We start from the raw sequence: 19,126 nt of genomic DNA, 5'->3' as shown, positions 1-19,126 counted from the left end.
CCCCTTAGTTTAAAATTTTGTGTTTGTTACATGCTAACGGTGTCAGAGTAAACCATTTGATTATACATAGAAAAGTTCCAGCCTGCTGCTGCTGACTTCCTTCTGACTTCCAAGACCCTAATCTAACTAAAGTGTCCCTGGTGGTGGCACTGTCTGCCTCATCCCACCCAGGGAAGTGACTCGGACATGTTTGGAGCCTCACACCATCCCCAGGGCCTGCGGCCCTCCTTTCCTCAACACAGCCCCTCTCCCTCGGCCGCATCCTGCCCCTTGCTCCTGGAAAGCCAGAGTGCTGCCCCTCCTCGCCGATGCTGGGGACTCTCCTAAAGCAGGAAAACTCACTCCTAATATGGTTGCTTTAGTTCACCGAGATGCTGTTTCCAGCTGTAGCCTGGAACCAAGGGACTTGGATCCTGACTGACTTTTCTGCCTCAAACTCTAGGACCATGAACAAACCAGACAATTAATATGAAATTTCAGCAGCTTAAGGCACTTGCTAGGGTTTTTACAGCTGCTTGGTGATCCTGATCCTGATAAGCTCAGCACATCTTGGCCTCAGTGTGTTTGTCCAAAGCCGTCAAAGCTGGGTATCCCGTAAGTTGGAAGTGGTGCACATACTACAAATTCAGATCCATCGGCAGTGTTCGCCCTTCACAGTCATCTATGCCCAAAACTCAAACAATGAAAAACCAAAAAACCTACTAGCCTTTTACATCACCTTTACACCTACACTTCATACTTCTGGTGCCACGCTGCCAGTGCCAGGCTGGGTTTCCACCCACTCTGAGAAGGCCACTGGGAGGCCCTGCACTGAGCTCTCCCTGTGCTCCTCGCCCCCATGAAGGCTTCAGAAGAAAGAGGGGCAGCTCAGCCTTGCTGCTAACCCGGCCCCACCCCGAGAGGCCAGAATGAAGCACAAAACCTGAATCTGCAAAGCAGCAAGTTGAGGGTTTCCATTCTTTTGATAGGAGCAGTGGAAAGGACTGTCAAGGAAAATCAGGAAGGGGAGGAAATTTCAGCCCAAGTCCTGCACTCTGATAACAGCTGGCCAAGATGAAGCTTCTGTGGCTACAGAGGATTGGGGAAATAGGTGTAACCTGAGATTCTATCCCCACAAGAATGGTGGGAATCCCAGTTCCAACCAGGTAGAAGGGACCCCAGATATATTTAACAAAATCTCAAGAAAACACAAAACACACAGCCTGATGCTATAGCTCAGAAGGAAAACCAAGTTGGCAGCAGAGGGAGTCAATTAGTTACCTGTACTGTATCAGAGCAAGTGCAAAGCCAGTGAATTACAAGCAAGTGGCAAAGAAATGACATGCTTCCGGGTGAGCAGACTACTGCAAATGAAAAGAAGGCACATCCTTTGCCTAGAAGAAAACAGAACAACAGAATCCCTCACAACCATCTGATGCTGCCGAACAGCTGGAACACGGATTTCATCCAGAGGAAGAGCCCACAGATGAAATTACAACACTGAATGAGATTGTTTTTAAAAAACTGTAGATACAACTAAAGTGTATTTGAAAGAGCAAGAAGATTTAAAATGAAAGTAATGGCATAATGGAAAGACCTGAGATAATCTCAATGCAAGCATATTTAAAAGGCAAGAGATGGAAGCCCCCGGAAAGGACCTATCAGTATAGAAAATCGTCAGCAGTGATCAACACAAGGATAATTACTGCTCCTGAATTAGAAAATTAAATGGAAAAGACGATTGTTCAAAAGCATATAACATTCATCTATTCATTCCTTCAGCCAGCCATCCCTTTCACTGTCTCTGCAAAAAAATGCCTGGAATGTGGTTCACCTAATCCTAATGGTATGGTTTGAATTATGAAGTTGGAGGTATTTTCATCTTAGTATTTTTCAGCATTATTTGAATGTATCATTATTATCCTTTTTTATATTAATATAGCAGATCCAAACTTGGGGCCCAGATAGGTCAAAAACAAGTTACATCATTGGTTTCCTGTCACCCACCACAAGGCTCAACTTCCTTCTAGAGCACTCACCTCTGTTTCCCTCCAGTGAACCCCAAGTCACCCTTTGCGCCTTGACTCTTGCCAAGCTAACAACCCTGTGCTGCCCTTCCCACCTCTAAGGACTTGTTCAAATCATGCCCTAAATCTAGAAAAGCCAACCTTCAGCCTTCCACATCCTTCCCAGCTTTCTGAATTCCAAACCAATATCCACAACTTCAGGGAACCTTCCATGATTAGCCCACATCTGTCTACACTCCACATACCAGGGCACTGCATTAGACTGGAACTTAGGGATAAATATGAATGTCACATTGCTATCTATTCCGCCTGATATTCATGCTTTTAGTAACGAGTTTTGATGAGTCCTCAAGAACCCACATGGTCCAGACAATGTGTCAGTTTAAAATGCTGTAGAATGATAACCTAAACCAATGACCCTAAGTGACTGTGTGAGGCAGTGGCACCTGAGCTGGTGATTGAGGCTGGCCAAACACCCGGCATCCGCATCACAAGGAGACTATTCTCTGCTCAGCATCCCAGAAACATATTTCGGGAAAGGTATGTGTTACAATATTCACCTATCTGGGGACTCAGGACTGCATGCCTTTTAGTTCCAAGGGACTGATGTATTTTTCCTTGAATACATACAAACAAGACTAACTCCTTAGGAGAAAGGACTGCCACCTGAAACCGTCTACCCTGATGGGAGATGATGGCCAGTGCAAGCAAGCAGTTTTAGGGTCTCCACGTCCTCAAGTCTGCTTATATGATTAAATGTGTGACTCCAGTCCTGAGACAAGCTTCCTGGTTAAATTCCTATCAATATGGGGCTACACAGGAATTTTAATATGATGACAAATGTCAATTCCAATGTGCATAATTTGACACTCTACTGGCTTTGCCATTTATACTGATTGCCCACGTTATAAAAAGGGGCAAATTACAATCTCCAAGTAAACAAAAAACATACACAACTTCCACATACTGAGTTAGGACTTGATTTAAATGGACCACTTATCCCACCCCTGCTCCCAGGATTCTTATTGCTGTCCCATTTTCAAAAACTGTAACCTCACCTCAAAGTACATCCCAGGACTAAATGGGAAAGAGGTAATATTTCTCTCTTCTTCTCCCCAGGACTCCTGAAGAAAAGAATTTCTTACAAATGCTTTAATATTCAGGCGTGGGTTCAAGTGTAGAGCAATATCCTTTGATTTTCCTGCTAGTAGGTCAACATTAAAGCTTTTGAGAAAGAAAGAAAAAAAAAAACCTTAATTAACCAAGTAGGACAGAGTAGTGGCAATTTCAGCAATGTTAGTGACCAGACTTGAACTATGATTCTAACTCTATGAAACACACGTATCCACATGGACATGGGAATGCAGGTGAAGTTGAAATTTTAAACCCAGTCAGCATTCCACTAATTCGTTACTTGCAAAATAAAAATACGAAAAAAAAAACCCTTTAAAATCAGCGTTGAGGCTGAGATGTGGTTGGACAGAAATGGAAGGTTTAACGCTAAACTGAATGACTACTTCAGGCTGCAGGAGCCTGGGATCCTCTCAAGCAGGTATTCTCTTTTCATCATCTACCCGTGTTCCTTCCTTCTTGAAAGTATGCCACTTTCTAGGAAATAGCTCTAATTTCAAGCTTTCAGAAGGCTGGACGTCTGTGGAAAAAGTTGTTAAAGCAGAAATTTTCTAAATCACATGACAAGAGGGGCCCTAAAAAATGTTGCCTGGGCTGGGCGTGGTGACTCACACCTGTAATCCCAGCACTGGGAGGGCGAAGTGGGCGGATCACTTGAGGTCAGGAGTTCCAGACCAGCCTGGCCAACATGGTGAACCCCTGTCTCTACTAAAAATACAAAAATTCAAAAAGTAGCTGGGCGTGGTGGTGCGCCTGTAATCCCAGCTACTCCAGAGGCTGAGGTAGGAGAATGGCTTGAACACCCAGGAAGCGGAGGTTGTGGTGTGCTGGGATTGTGACACTGCACTCCAGCCTGGGTGACACAGTGAGGCTCCATCTCAAAAAAAAAAAAGAAAAGATGTTGCCTGATCTTACGGGGCTGCTCTGGAGTTCTACAAGGCAAGGATAGGCCTCGTGGACAAAAATGCTACTCTCTTGTCTGGCCAGAAAAAGCCGAGGTCAGAACACGGCCTTAGTCGGCTCTGCTGCCCACTGGCTGTTCACAATCTAACCACCTCCTGCTTGAATCATCTCACTTTGGAAATGAAGATTCTGACGCTAGCCCTTCTTCCAGCTCACAGGACCGTTCACGGGTGGAAGGCGGTAACAGGCACGGAAGTATCTGCACTGTGACTGGTACCGAAGGATACTGACCTTTTGGCATTTGCATTCACTTCTCCTTTAACGACGACAGTTCGTCCAGGGCCCATGGGGGTGTTCAACCTTGCAGCGAATGGCAGCCTCTGAAAAGAAGCCACAGTCAGGACCAAGAGGCCTGCAGAAAGCGATCTCCAGGGAAAACTCGTGTCCAAAGAACACTACGGAATGTTTCAGAGCCATGACCCTGTAAATCCCAGGAGGGGAGAGACAGTCTGCCTTGGTCCCAGCTGGGTCCCCTGCAGCAGCACTGTCCCTGGCTCGAAGCAAACACACATGATTACATTTTAGACGATGAAATGAGTGACAGGGTGGGACCCGATGCCCTCTGTATGAGTGAAACACGCCAGGAAGGCCCCCTGTGCCTGGGGTCTGAGGCAGTACTGTGTTCTGCCTGAAGGGGAAGCAGCCAAGCAGGGAGGTGCTGAGGAAATACACAGGAATGGCTCAGAGGCAGGCCTGGTTGACTCTCGAATCCGTCCAGGGACGGCACACAAATGCAGAGGGGGCTGCTTTGGGCCTCTATTGTGGATACAGGTTACTCGTAACAGCTCATTACAACTTAATTTTTATATAGAGTTAAGAAAATTTGGTGCTCTTCAAACCTTTGACACATAGTTCATAGGTGGTATTTTGGTGCAAGTCAAAGTGTGATTGACAGTCGAATCTTTGCTCTTGGTGTAGACAGTTCTGGGTGCGATTTTAGAAATGTCTCCTCCTCTATTACTAGGCTGTAGGGAAACAGTTCTACAGTAAGGAATGGAATGAATGAAGCTGCCCTCCACGGTTTAAACTGTTCATTTTCTATGCAACTTTATAAAATATTCCACATGAAATAACCCAGGCAAAAATACTCACAAGCTGGGGCGTGCCAGACTTTGGAACCTATTGGAAAAGAAACAAAACACAACAATGTTAGAAGGGGAAGAATTATAGTTTATAATCTGAAGTCTTGGTTGTGCTGAGCTGAGCCTGGCCGGAGCCTGGGATGTTCCTGCTCCACTCTGGTGTGACCTCCAGGCAGCTGGTGCTTTATGACGGAATGGTATGGTGTTGTGAAGGGCTACACGGGTTGAGAAGAGAGTCTGATATCCCTGTTCATCTGAGTCCTTTATCCTCCACCATAAATTAATAATTTTTCATAGAACTATATGAAATTTTTTTAAGAGACAGGGTCTTACTCTGTCATCCACACTGGGATGCAGTGGCTCAATCATGGCTCACTGCAGCCTCAACCTCCTGGGCTCAAGTCATCCGCCTACTTCAGCCACCCAAAGCTGGGATCACAGCCATGCGCCACCATGCCCAGATAATTTTTTAATTTTTTGTAGAGATGGGGTTCTCCCTATGTGGCCCAGGCTGATCTCAAACTCCTAGGCTCAAGCAATCCCCCCACCTCAGCCAAAGCGCTGGGACTACAGGCCTGAGCCACCACCTTCACCCAGCACTACATGAACTTCAAACGTGTCTTAGTTGTCCTTTCCAGGGTGCCCCCAGAATGCTAAGATTCTGTTCTGTCTGTGAGGTGTGAACGTGCCAGTCGGTAAGACCTCACTTTCTCCATTAATAACAGCGCATTTTTAAATTGCAGTTATTCTCCCAGGGGTTGAAGATACACATGGAAGTTCATTTGCCAGTGCACTGGCTGATGTTCAATATTTGGAAATACCCCAGAACAGTACTATTCAGCAGTTAAGAGTGAGAGAGTGCTTTTTACATAAGAACAGTGAGTGGCAGTTACAGAAACTGACAGGTGAATCATCAGCAAAAACTTACTGCGTGCCTGGCACCACAAGTATGTATCTCAATTTTCAAGTGATTACTTGCGTTCTAAAAGCATAATTTTCAAAAACCCAGCCTTCTTGCCATTTCATTAACATGGCAGCTAAAACAACATTTTTAAACCAGTGGCTCATTAAAAGATTTAATATTTACATTTTCTCTACTTATCTCTGTCAGTTCCAGACTAGATGCTTGGGTACTTTGTAAGTCCTGAGAAAAGATAATAAAGATTAATTTGTAACATCCAGTAGAAAATATTTTCTAAATATTTTATATTGACATATAAAAAAATTATAAATGGTACTAAAAATATGCTTGAAAACTATGATCCAAAAATACACTTGACACTGTGGTCCTTTCCGCCCCCCATCAGATTGGCAAACATTACAGAGAATAAGATGTAATGTCAGCAAGAAGGTGGGAGCATGGCTGTTGAGAGTGCAAACTGTTTTTACCCTTGTGAAGGGCGAGTTAGTATCTATCAAAATTTTCAATGCAAAGACAGTCATGTGTTGCTTAACGAAGGGGGTATGTTCTGAGAAATGTGTCCTTACATGACTTTTGTCATCGTGCAAACATCACAGAATATTACTTAACAACCTTAGATGGTACTGCCAACTACACACCTAGGCTGTAGGGTGTGGCCTATAGCTCCTGGCCAGTGAATCTGTACAGCAGGCACTGTACCAAATACTGTAGGCAACCAGAGCAGGATGGTAAGTATTTGTGCATATAAACTTACCTAAACATAGAAAAGGTATGGTAAAAATACAGTATATGACAATCTTATGGGACCACGGTTGTATATGTGGTTCATCTTTGACTGAACTGTCCTTATGCAACACATGACTGTGCTCTTTGACTCAGGCACTCCCAGCCTAGGAACCTGTCTTACAGAAATACTCCATTTTATGCCCATGCAAAGGAAATAGCTGCTACCCAGCTAAAAACTGTGTGTGTTTTATTAAAACCACACTAGGTTTGAGATCCTACAGACAATGAAGCCCTGGCTGATAAACAGCCTTCTGCTAGTGTGAACAGTTCACTTCCAAAAAATTAATACTACAGTCAGGGAGATACGTCCTTTTTATGTCAATAGAAGTGTTATTTGAAGATTTTTTCTACCATCTCATCAGAAACCATCCTCATAAAAGACCCCAAGCTGTGGAAGGTCACTCACCGAGCTGAAGCTAAAACCAATTGAGTGAATATTCACTTTGCCATAAATGCCCAGAGTGTCTATTTTCTCTGGGCCGATCCTGTGGCCATAGAGCAGAGTATGTTTTCCATTTACAGCCACCTAGAGAGATACAGAAGACAGAGCCCCCCCCGCCACCAAAAAAAAACAGTTAATAAATTAACTTATTATCCAAATTTAAATGTTTCCTTGCGTCCAGTTTTATACCTGTTCCCACAGGTCTCCACACACATGACCAAATGGTAACCGAAAGCACCCAAAACACTAGCAGTGCTTCCAAACTTCTTTTGAGTTCCTGATTTGATTAAGCACCAGGAACTGTCTCTCCCCAGACAAACAGGCAGTCATAAGTATATGTGCGTGTGCTTGTGTGCGCCTCTGCATACATGTGAGACATCTGGGTTCGAAGGTCGCCTGGAAGCCCAGGCACAGGTGCCCTGGAGATTGTGAACCCAGGTTAAAGATCTGCCTGCGAGCTCCCCACAACACTGTCCCTGGAGACCACCCATGTGGCAGACACTCAAAATCTGTTGTATTTGCTAAATAAATTAATATGGACAAGTTACCCAACATATTTGAATTCGGTTTTCTTATTCTGAAGTAGGAACAGTCTCTACCTCAACAGACTACAGTAAGATGACGAGAAAGTAGCTTCTGCAGGTCCTCGGCACGCTACGAGGCTCCTCCTCCCTCCCTCTCAAATGCCAGGTACCACGTTAGGTTATAGGCAGAAAACGCGAGCAGCATACAATATAGTCTCTGACTCAGGGAGCTTAAAATCCCATTGTGGAGGCAAAATAAACACGTAAAGCCAAAGCACAACTGTTAAAAACTGTGAAAAAGAATGATACAGACACGGGCTCAAAAGGCCAGAGAAGGGAGAGGTGAATGGAGTTTGGGAGATTCAGAAAGACTTTCGGGCAGGAGCAGTATCCCGAAGATCAGAAAGGATCTGCGCCAGAGGCATTCGAGTCTTCTCTCGCGTTGGTACATACCTCTACTGTGGGCAAGCTCCACAGGCCAGAGGGCCAGCAGGTGTAAGCTTCTGGGACCAAATTCAACCGTACACATACACGCTAGGTACAAGACACTCCATGAAGCCAGAGATGGAACTGACATCAAGGATTTCTAGGATCTCCTCTGGGTCTAAAATCTCATGATCCTACGGAACTGTCTTGTGGCAAGACTTGAATTTACAAAACCCTTCTGATTTCTTCGCTGGGATTGCCCTTGTTAGCTCTTCGGGTGGTGGCGGTTATATTATAACTTACCCTCCCATCATGAACATAATACTGTGTCAATTCGGAACTCAGCCCTGCTAGGAGAAATAGGATCTAATAAAAAGATCTGGTCACAGTGGACCATATTTCTGCATGGCAACAACTGGCTGGAGAGTAGTGGTGCCATACCTCACATTTAGGTGCCTTCCTGGTCCTTTTATGGAGAAAAACTACAAAGCCAAACAAACTATATCTCAGGTGTAGGAAATATAAGGCTGGGCTCACAAATGTGAAAAGCACCCCTGTGCACTCCTGCTCACTAATGAGGACTCAACCTGTCCCTCTCCAAAACCTACCTGGAATTTGTCCTTCAGCACCATAATCACGATCTCAAAAGACTTTTCTCTTTTGAAAGGCGTGTCATAGGTGATCTCTTCCCGTCCCCATTTTTCATTTATCAAAGTATTGCAAACAATGCAGCCGGCCCTTTTGAAACGAGGATTGAAATGAAAGGCCACATCGGCTCGAGGTTTCATGCTGCTGCCATTCTGCAGATCCACCTGGAATCTATATGAGGGAAGACACAGGGGCCCCATGAGTGCTCAGAAAGGAAAGCCACCAGTAAAGGACCAGCAGGCACTACACTCCAGGCCCAGTGACAAGGGACTGACCAATCCCTCCTCATTCATTCACTATGAGGCCTAAAGAGCTGACTGTCTAATCTTTTCTGTCTTCCTCAGTAAAATAGCCCCTGAGTTTGAACTGGGTCTGAATCTGCCCAGAATAAAAACCTACCTTTCCCAGCCTCCCTCGCAGCTAGGCCTGCCTGTGCAGCTAAAGCTCTGCTGGTAAGATGGAAGTGAAGTGCTCAGGGAAGGCTACTGGAAACTGCCTTAGAAGTCAGCAAGCACTTGCCTTTTGTCCAGCTCTGTTTCCCCGCAAACACCACATGCACCCATCCAGCTACCCAAAGCACAGAAGTGAGGGCTGGAAATCTGGCTGCCAAGGAAAACGGGAAAGGGGACCTTACCTCACCCTCAAGATAACAGAGTGGTGAGCTCGAAGGAGTCTACTTCTCTAACGACTTGAAGGAGTTAACTGAAAAGGCCTGGGCTGTCTCCTTGAGACTTAATTTTCACATCTTAAACCACTGCTCTTCAGGTGTTAGGTACACAGAGCTGAGCCCAACACTAATGATACCACAGCTTGTATCCAAAGCAGGTATTCAGTAAAACCATCTGAACTAGATCTGTAATGCTGTGGGAATGTCAGACTAAAACTAGACTGTCCCTGTCATCTGACCACAATTCCTTTCTTTAATGACATACCTAATTCTTTTTCTTTTTCTTTTTTTTTTTTGTCACCCAGGCTATAGTGCAGTGGCTCGATCACAGCTCACTGCAACCTCAAACTCCTGGGCTCAAGGAATCCTCCTACCTCAGCCCCCTGAGTAGCTACAACTACAGGCGCACACCACCAAGCCAGTTAATTTTTAAATTTTTTTTTTTTTTACAGATGGGGGGTCTCACTATGTTGCCCAGGCTGGTCTCAAACTCCTGGCCTCAAACAATCCTCCTGCCTTGGCCTCCCAAAGTGCTGGAAAAGTATGTTTAAGTCACCACATCCAGCTGATAGTTCTAATTTTTTATACTGAAATCAGACTTACAGCAATGAAATAAATCCCAATAACCTTTATTTAGTCATTCATTCCAATCTCCTCAGCACCTTGGCCAGGGCTGCTGATGAAAGCTAATTGGGCCTCAAAGTATCAAATGGTCTCTCCCGCCTTACTCTGTTATCATTCCACAATCACAAAAAGACAGCCTATTCATGCTCCTTCCTTTAGCACAGTGATTTTACCTGTCTGCGTCACTAGGAACATGCCCACGTATCACAATCAAAGTTCCAGGATCCAGCTGATCAGGAATGGTGCCAACAAACGGGATTACCTAAGAAAAAAAATTTAACAAATGTACGTTTACATAAACAAAATTACTTACTAAGCAATTACAACCCACACTCATTATTGATAGAGAAAAACTACACTTTTTAAGGCTGCACATAAATCTGCTCAGAATCCAGCATTTTCCAAGTCATCTTTCCTATTCAAACAGCTAGAAAAAGGAACTGCGGCCGGGCGCGGTGGCTCACGCCTGTAATCCCAGCACTTTGGGAGGCCGAGGCGGGAGGATCACGAGGTCAGCAGATCGAGACCATCCTGGCTAACACGGTGAAACCCCGTCTCTACTAAAAATACAAAAATTAGCCGGGTGTGGTGGTGGGCGCCTGTAGTCCCAGCTACTCGGGAGGCTGAGGCAGGAGAATGGCACGAACCTGGGAGGCGGAGCTTGCAGTGAGCCGAGATCGCGCCACTATGCTCCAGCCTGGGCGACAGAGCAAGGCTCCGTCTCAAAAAAAAAAAAAGGAACTGCATACCTCATGGCCAGGATATCTGCAATAGCTGCAAACCACTATGAGTTCTTTGGAAAGAGACACAAGGTAAATACTATTCATAGTATTTTGTATTTGGCTGAGAGTTTGTGAAGCAAAACTTCTGCTTAATATGATAATTCTAACAGAAAAAAAAAAAAAGACTTGTTGCAATGCCATGTCTACTCATTCCTTTTCCTACTGTTCCACTGCTGATCCCAACAGAAGGTTCGAGGCCACACTAGGCCCAAAGCCAATGCTGACGGAGACAATGACAAGCACTCACTGCCTCTGAAGGAAACTCCACGTTAAGCCACGCCCCCACACCTGGGATTCCAGGGCCTGCTCTTCTCTGCTGGACTCCCAGACTGCAACCCAGACTGCACTGTTAGAAACCAGAGAACTGCATGATCATGAGGATGAGTGGGTGCCTGTGGGTCTTCAAGACATGGCATCCACCTGCCGTGGACCAGTCCAGTCTGCAGGCGTGGACTCTGACAGCTGGCTCCACCCAGTATTCAGGTCTCAACCTGCACCCTCACTGCCCAGAACCCAGCCCTTTTTTTCTGGGACCTGCCACACTGCCAGATCTTGTCATTCCCCTTCCCCAGAGATGACTACACTGTCTTCCCAGTCCACTGGCTGGGGACCTGTGCTATGTGGCTGCCTCTCCTGCATCACAACCATCTGCCTCCATCTAGAGCATCTGACCAGGATGTACAGCCCACACACCGTTAAGCCTCACACTAAGCTCACTCAAATTACGATGTGCATGGTAAAACCTACCCAAGGTACTTCTGATTGTCAAGAAATAAGAAATAAAATAAGACGGGCCACAGAAAAGTGGTTATAAATTGGTGGCTCCTAAACCGAAATCGCCTTGAGGCACAGCCTCCTCTGTGGAGCCTTCTTCAAGCTCCCTGGGCTGCTGAGTCAGCCCCTCTCAGAGGGTTCATGATAGCACTTTGGATTCTGTTTGTTTGCATGTAGCTTTGCCTAGACTGTGAGCTGCATGGGGCAGAACTGGCTCATCACCTTTACCTCCCCAGGACACAGGTCAAGAGACGATCGGTAACTGCATGGTGAATGAATGAACTCTCACCTGTCTGGAAAGTGGGCTCTGGCAGGCCTCACACATACAGAGGAGAGGCAACAAAGCAGCTGCTGAACCGCAAGCTGAGCCCACAAGCTCTCTGTTGCCTTAGGCAATAAGATGAGAAATTACGGAAGCCAATTATCTATTTGTTGTCATGGCAATTGCTAGGAGCAGGGTGGGAGGCACATGACACCAGAAAACAAAAAATACAACAGACAGTGTAGACTGGGGCTACAGCTGCACATCAGAGTATCTGATTTTGTGTGTAGAGAATGGGGAAGGACCTACATCCCTACATTGATCTTTTGGGTCACAGCTGGTTCCAAGAATATATAGCAGCAGGTTTCATAGCGTTAATCTCTTAATAAAATGAGAAGTTTTTATAACATCAAATTTCATCTTAAAATTATCTTTATGCAGAATATTTAATAACACAAGTTAGTAATATAAGTGAGAAAGTAATCTATAGAGCCATATATAGTATGATCTCAACTAAATAAATATAAACATTAAAAAGAAAACCTTGCTAATACACACTGTATCCTGTATCAAAATATGCCATATACCCCATAAATAGATATACCTACTACATACTCAAAAAAATTAAAAATTAAAAAAAGAAAAAGAGAAACACTAAAGAAATCAGACAAAAATGATAACAATAGTTTTCATGGGGGATGATGGGATTTTAATTTTTTTCTTCATATATTTTCATACTTTGCAGATGTCTATAATAAGCATCGATATTTCTATAGCCAGAAAAATATTTTTAATTATATGTTTCATTTTAGTGTTGGAAAGAGCTTTTTGAGACAAAACAATCTATTCCCATCACTTTTTTTTTTTTTTTTTTTTTTTTGAGACAGAGTCTCACTCTGTCCCCCAGGCTAGAGTGCAGTGGCGTGATCTCAGCTCACTGCAACCTCTGCCTCCCGGGTTCAAGCGATTCTCCTGCCTCAGCCATCCAAGTAGCTGGGACTACAGGCATGTGCCACCATGCCCAGCTAATTTTTTGTACTTTTAGAGAGATGGGGTTTTGCCATGTTGGCCGGGCTGGTCTGGAACTCCTGGGCTCAAAGTGATCCTCCCAAAGTACTGGGGTTGCTTTGGGAGGTAATGAGCTTTGGGAGAAGCTACCGCACCCGGCCCCCATCACTTCTAATACCTTGTTCACAACTGTTTATAGGTTGTTCCAGTTTGAGAAACAACTATGCTAAGAACGGTGGCCACTTGCTGCTTTAGTTTTCTGGGTTCATCATGCCTTCTACTTCAGAAAAGATCCTGCATTACTTCAGTAATACTTTTTTTTTTTTTTAACTATGAGACACAGTGCCCTGCCGCTGACTCATTTAACCCACGACTATGTGGCTTCTGTGAAAACGGAGGACATACATTGTTTTCTAGGCTACTCCAAGCTACTTTGGTGATTCACAGATCATTATTAATTTACATTTAAAAAATTAAAATACAGATCTGATCACACTGGAGACAATACCACAAGCTTACGCCACAGTCAGGTTTGCTGTTATTTCCCAAAACACCCTTGCTGATTCATATTGCTTTGCCTTTTTGATGATTAAATGCAAGGCTCTCTATTAGGCAGACTGCAGCTTGAAAGAAGCCTAAGAGTCAGACACCCAGGAAACATAACAGACACCCAGGAAACATGGAGTGAAAATGTGATACTCTATTTGGCTGCTGAAAATTGGTATCCCTTTCCATATCTGAAAATCCCCTAGCTTATGAACATTAGACCTCATCTAGACTGCAACAAGGTAAGAGCAGGTGACAAAACTGCCCATTAGAACTTCCAGCTCAGCTTTTAAGTAAGAACCAGTGACAAGAAGAAGCCACAATGACGCAGTATTCACTCTGGCAAGGGGGCAGCCGCTATATCTGGGTTTGGAGAAAGCTACATCTGGGGTCAAAGGCAGCTACATCCGGGGTCAGGGGCAGCTATATCGAGGGTCAGAGGGAGCTGCATCCAGGGTCAGAGGGAGCTACATCTGGGGTCAGAGACAGCAGTGGCATTGGTAGAGTAGCAGAGACACAGTACCATCTGTGTCCAGTGGTGACAACAGATGCCTCTTCATGGGAACCGTCCTACAGTATGCTTGTGTATCTGTGGCTACCTATTCTCCAAGCCTGGTTCTTCATCCTGCTAGAGATTCTGAGAACTCTGCACTATCATTTAGCAAATTCCTTTTCTGCTTAAAGAGTTGGCTTCTGTTGCTTGTAACTACAAACCCTGACCAATTCAACATCTTTAAAAAAAAAAAAAATGGGGGTCAGGCGCAGTGGCTAACACCTGTAATCCCAGCATTTTGGGAGGCGAAGGTGGGCAGATCACTTGAGGTTGGGAGTTGAAGACCAGCCTGACCAACGTGGAGAAACCCCATCTCTACTAAAAATACAAAATTAGCCGGGCATGGTGGCACATGACTGTAATCCCAGCTACTCAGGAGGCTGAGGCAGGAGAATCACTTGAACCCAGGAGGCGGAGGTTGCAATGAGCCGAGATCGGGCCATTGCACTCCAGCCTGGGCAACAAGCAAAATTCAGTCTCAAAGAAAAAAAAAAGGGTGGGGGAGCAGTAAAGAAGAGTCAAAGAAATGCTTCAGGAAAATGGGATAAGGAATTCTAACTGAGGTAGCCAAAGACAGTTTATGAAGAAGATATGATTTCAGTTGCCACTTCAGGTAGAAATGGCAGTTTACAAAAGCAGAGAGGCAGGAAAAGACAAGACCCATCTTCTCTCAGCACGCAGTCAGGGAGTAGTTAAAGAAAGGTACAGCCAGGGTCAGATTTTAGAGTGACATACGAAAGAAGTGTTTAGGAACAACAGTCCAGTGGGGGTGAAATAAGCCAGAGGTCAGGAGGTCATCTGGGTGACTGACTGCTGCCATAAGCCTGGCGTGAAACGATAAGGACACATTCCAGGTCAGTGGCAATGGCCCTGGAAGAGCAGAGAAGTCCAAGAGATGTTTCAAAGGAAACTGTCTACATAAGGCCACTAAATACATGACAAAGCTGGGGAGAAAACAGGTTTTTTGTTTTTTGTTTTTTGTTTTTCTTGAGATGGAGTTTCACTTTTGTTGCCCAGGCTGGAGTGCAATGGCGTGATCTCGGCTTACTGCAATCTCCGCCTCCCGGGTTCAAGCGATTCTCCTGCCTCAGCCTCCTGAATAGCTGGGATTACAGGTGCCTGCCACCACGCCTGGCTAATTTTTTTGTATTTTTCGTAGAGATGGGGTTTTACCAAGTTGGCCAGGCTGGTCTCGAACTCCTGACCTCAGGTGATCCACCCACCTCGGCCTCCCAAAGTACTGGGATTACAGGTGTGAGCCACCGCGCCTGGCCTGGGAGACAGGTTTCAGGAGGAAGATGACGAGTTTAGTTTGTAATACTTGGTGTGAAGCGTTGGCAGAGCATCTGAGAGCAAATCTGCTAAGACTTGGAGACTCAGAACCACACGCTAGGTGAATGGCCAGAGCACACATTTAAAAGTCAGGGTAAAGATCATTTGTAAAGATATCAAAGTAGATAAAGAAATCGAAAAGCAGGACAGGTCAGGCAGCAAAGGCTCGGTGGTTTCTAAAATTAGGAGGTATGCAGAAAAGAATTAACATTGGCAGGCCTGACTGCTGTCCTGGAAAGGCCTCCTTACGAGGCAGGCCCCTGGCTGGTGTCTGGGAACTTGGGATTTGGGAAGGGCACCCACCAACCTAACTGGTAACGGGGATTTCCTGTACCTGAACTGTTCATGCAAATAATATGGTTATGCTAAACACCTGCTTTCCTTCTGGGGGACCAGAATTTTTTGATATGTGTGAGGGTGCTTATGTGACCAGCCTCCAGTAAAAACCCTAGGCACTGAGGCTCTGATGAGCTTCCCTGGCAGTCCACATTTCACAAGTGTTGTCACAACTCCTTGCTGGAGGATGTAAGCACATCCTATGTGACTCCACTGGGAGGCGACCTTGGAACTTGCACTGGATTTCCCCTGGAATTCACCCCAGGTGCCTTTCCGTTTGCAATTTTGCTCTATATCCTTTCACCGCAATAAATCATAGGCACAAGTACAACTCTATGCTGGTGAGTCATCAAAACTGGGTGTGACCTTGGGGACCTCAACATGGGGTGAGAAGAGAAAGGAGAGAGAAGAATCAGTCAGGCCAGGGCAATAATATCAAGGGAGTCAATGGATTTATAAATTTCAGTAAGAGGAAAACTGTCAATATCTTTAACATTGAAGAAGCTAAGAAGGATCCAAGCAAATAAAGATAATAAAATGGGGCCGGGCGCGGTGGCTCACACCTGTAATCCCAGCACTTTGGGAGGCTGAGATGGGTGGATCACAAGGTCAGGAGATCGAGACCATCCTGGCTAACATGGTGAAACCCCGTCTCTACTAAAAATACAAAAAAATTAGCCAGGCGTGGGTGGCGGGCGCCTGTAGTCCCAGCTACTCCGGAGGCTGAGGCAGGAGAATGGTGTGAACCCGGGAGGCGGAGCTTGCAGTAAGCCAAGATCATGCCACTGCACTCCAGCCTGGGCGACAGAGCAAGACTCTGTCTCAAAAATAAATGAATAAATAAATAAAATAAATAAGTAAAGAAAATGGATCATACCCTCTGACCTAGTGATTCCACTTTTACAGATTTATCCTACAGAAATACGTAGCACAGGCACACCAAGATGCACACACAAGGATGTACACTATAGCACCGGATATAATCGCAAAAAGACACAGCCCTTCACAAGGGACTGCTTACATAAGTTTTACTGCTAATTATGCAGCTGTTAAAATAAATGAGGAAGTTCTAAATAAAATGACATTTCCAAAATAGGTCAAATAGAAAAAGCAGGGTAGAAAACAGTTTATACGGTAAAATGCATGCACGTAAAGAGACAGGATATATAAAAGGTGATATACACAACACACACACTTTTGGATATTCATAAGTATCTCAGGAAGGATATATTTCTAAAAACCAGTAAAAAGTGATTGCCCTTGGGGAGTAAAACTAAGTACCAGGGTAGAAGGAAAATGCATGTTTCACTGAAACTCTTAAATACTGTTTGAATTTTAAAAAAATGATTTGCACATATTATCTTTAAATTTTTTTAAAAGGAAAAGCCACTGGTTTGGACATAAATGTAGTTTAAAATTTTGAAGACAGACTATCTTCCAACTATTGGGTGCTAGGAAACAAGGGAGGAGGCAAAAGTTAAACAGCAGAAGGATCCTGCTGCAGAAAACTGCAAGAGGAAAGCTGGTTTGGGAAGGAAGATGCAAGTTTGGTTTTGAACTCCTAGTCTTGAAGGGCTGGCTGAGCAACTGAGAGTTGGGGGTTCACATTAGGTGAAAGGTTGGAACTGGATACATATGGAAAAAAAAATCTATGAGTGATCGGTAAAGACATAAAAGAAAGAGACATTAAAGACAAAATTTCACTAGTAAAACCAAAAAAGAAAAGAGAGTGAAAAATCAGAGGGCAGAGCCTTAGTGAGGAAATCCACTCTCAGTCAGGAAGGCAGGCAGCAAAAAGAGAAGAAAAACAGCACAAAGGCTAGAAGGTATCTCACAGGTTACAAAAGAAAGACTTGACTGTGTTGTGTTTTAAGACTAAATTGTAAGGTAAAAAAGGAGTACTTAGAATACTAAGCAGAAAAGGATAAACATGGAAGCAAGGTTCCTAAGAAAACTGGGTACCAGGTAGGATTTATGTTGACAAGCAACTTATTAACTTGGAGTAACAACCAATTCTGTTTCATTTCTAAATGATTTCTTAACCAGCTAGCATTTAATCATATCTTAAGAACTCTATAAACAATAGCAAAATTAAATATATAGGTAGATAATGAACTGCCAAACAAGAAATTTCACTGGCAGCATTCCTGGTATGAAGTAAAGATACTGTCTTCCAAATTATTCATTCAAATTCAATAGAAAGAAAAGTAAGTGGCCAGCCACGGTGGTTCACGCCTATAATCCTAGCACTTTGGGAGGCCGAGGCGGGCGGATTGCCTGAGCTCAGGAGTTCGAGACCAGGCTGGCCAACATGGTGAAACCCCGTCTCTACTAAAATACAAAAGAACAATTAGCGGGGCGTGGCGGTGTGCGCCTGTAGTCCCAGCTACTCGGGAGGCTGAGGCAGGAGAATTGCTAGAACCCAGGAGGCAAAGGTGGCAGTGAGCCGAGATTGCACCACTGCACTCCAGCATGGGCAATAGAGCAAGCCTCCATCTCTTAAAAAAAAAAAAAAAAAGAGAAGAAAGAAAAAAAAAAAAAAACAGAAAAGGAAGCCTAACTTTTTTTTTCTTTTTTTTTTTTTGAGATGAAGTATCACTCTGTCGCCCAGGATGCAGTGCAGTTGTGCAATCTTGGCTCATTACAACCTCCACCTCCCGGGTTCAAGTGATTCTCCTGCCTCAACCTCCCATGTAGCTGGGATTACAGGCCACCGCCACCATGCCCGGCTAATTTTTGTATTTTTAGTAGAGACGGGGTTTCACTGTGTTAGTCAGGCTGGTCTCGAACTCCTGACCTCAAGTGATCCTCTCGCCTCGGCTTCCCAAAGTGCTGGGATTACAGGCATGAGCCGCAGCACCCGGACTCTGACTTTTTATTTTTATTTTTGAACATGGTTCTTGCTCTGTCACCCAGAATGAAGCACAGTGTCAAACTCACAGCTCACTGCAGCCTCAACCTCCTGGGCTCAAGCAATCCTCCCACCTCACTCTTCCTCATAGCTGGGACTACAGACATGCGCCACAATCCCCAGTTAATTTTTGTATTTTTATAGAGAGACAAGGTCTCACTATGTTGCTCAAGCTGGTCTTGAACTCCTGGGCTCAAGTGATCCACTAGCCTTGGCCTCCCACAGTGCTGGAATTACAGGCATGAGCCTCTGGACCCAGCCTTAGAGCCTGACTTTTTTAAGTCTTGGAATTCTATCAGTTGAACTAGTCAAAGAAATATACTAAATAGGGAAAAAAATACATAGGCCAGTTGCAATATTTACTTCATCTTTTCCAAGAAAACTTAATGTGGACAGTTGGT

At 44.6% G+C, this 19,126-nt stretch overlaps 1 protein-coding gene across 10 annotated transcripts in view, besides 1 other annotated feature; it reads right to left on the bottom strand.

Annotated features, from left to right (window-relative positions):
- LGALS8 (galectin 8) overlaps positions 1-19,126 on the bottom strand; it is a 34,768-nt gene that overhangs the window by 5,002 nt on the left and 10,640 nt on the right. For 5 of the 10 annotated variants that reach the window (XM_047420410.1, NM_201545.2, XM_047420411.1 and 2 more), the window contains 8 exons: positions 10,395-10,483; positions 8,891-9,101; positions 7,297-7,416; positions 6,270-6,326; positions 5,193-5,219; positions 4,940-5,065; positions 4,332-4,420; positions 3,065-3,230 (listed from right to left, as the gene is read on the bottom strand). In XM_047420410.1, the coding sequence (XP_047276366.1) occupies positions 3,065-3,230; positions 4,332-4,420; positions 4,940-5,065; positions 5,193-5,219; positions 6,270-6,326; positions 7,297-7,416; positions 8,891-9,101; positions 10,395-10,483 (885 nt within the window). Of the gene's footprint in view, positions 1-18; positions 2,819-3,064; positions 3,231-4,331; positions 4,421-4,939; positions 5,066-5,192; positions 5,220-6,269; positions 6,327-7,296; positions 7,417-8,890; positions 9,102-10,394; positions 10,484-19,126 lie in introns of those variants that run through there. The other 5 variants (XM_047420416.1, NM_201543.4, NM_201544.4 and 2 more) reach the window with 3 other exon arrangements.
- Positions 11,777-12,071: a silencer, noted in NCBI's record as "tiled region #1811; K562 Repressive non-DNase unmatched - State 14:Gen5'". NCBI's record gives its function as "represses a minimal TATA promoter and a strong SV40 promoter by Sharpr-MPRA in K562 cells {active_cell/tissue: K562}" and the evidence as "EXISTENCE:reporter gene assay evidence [ECO:0000049][PMID:27701403]".

This window comes from Homo sapiens, chromosome 1, assembly GCF_000001405.40.
Source record: "Homo sapiens chromosome 1, GRCh38.p14 Primary Assembly".
In the NCBI taxonomy this organism is placed as follows: domain Eukaryota; kingdom Metazoa; phylum Chordata; class Mammalia; order Primates; family Hominidae; genus Homo; species Homo sapiens.
Note: the sequence above shows the minus strand (reverse complement) of the source record. Positions and strands in the feature narration are given on the sequence as shown.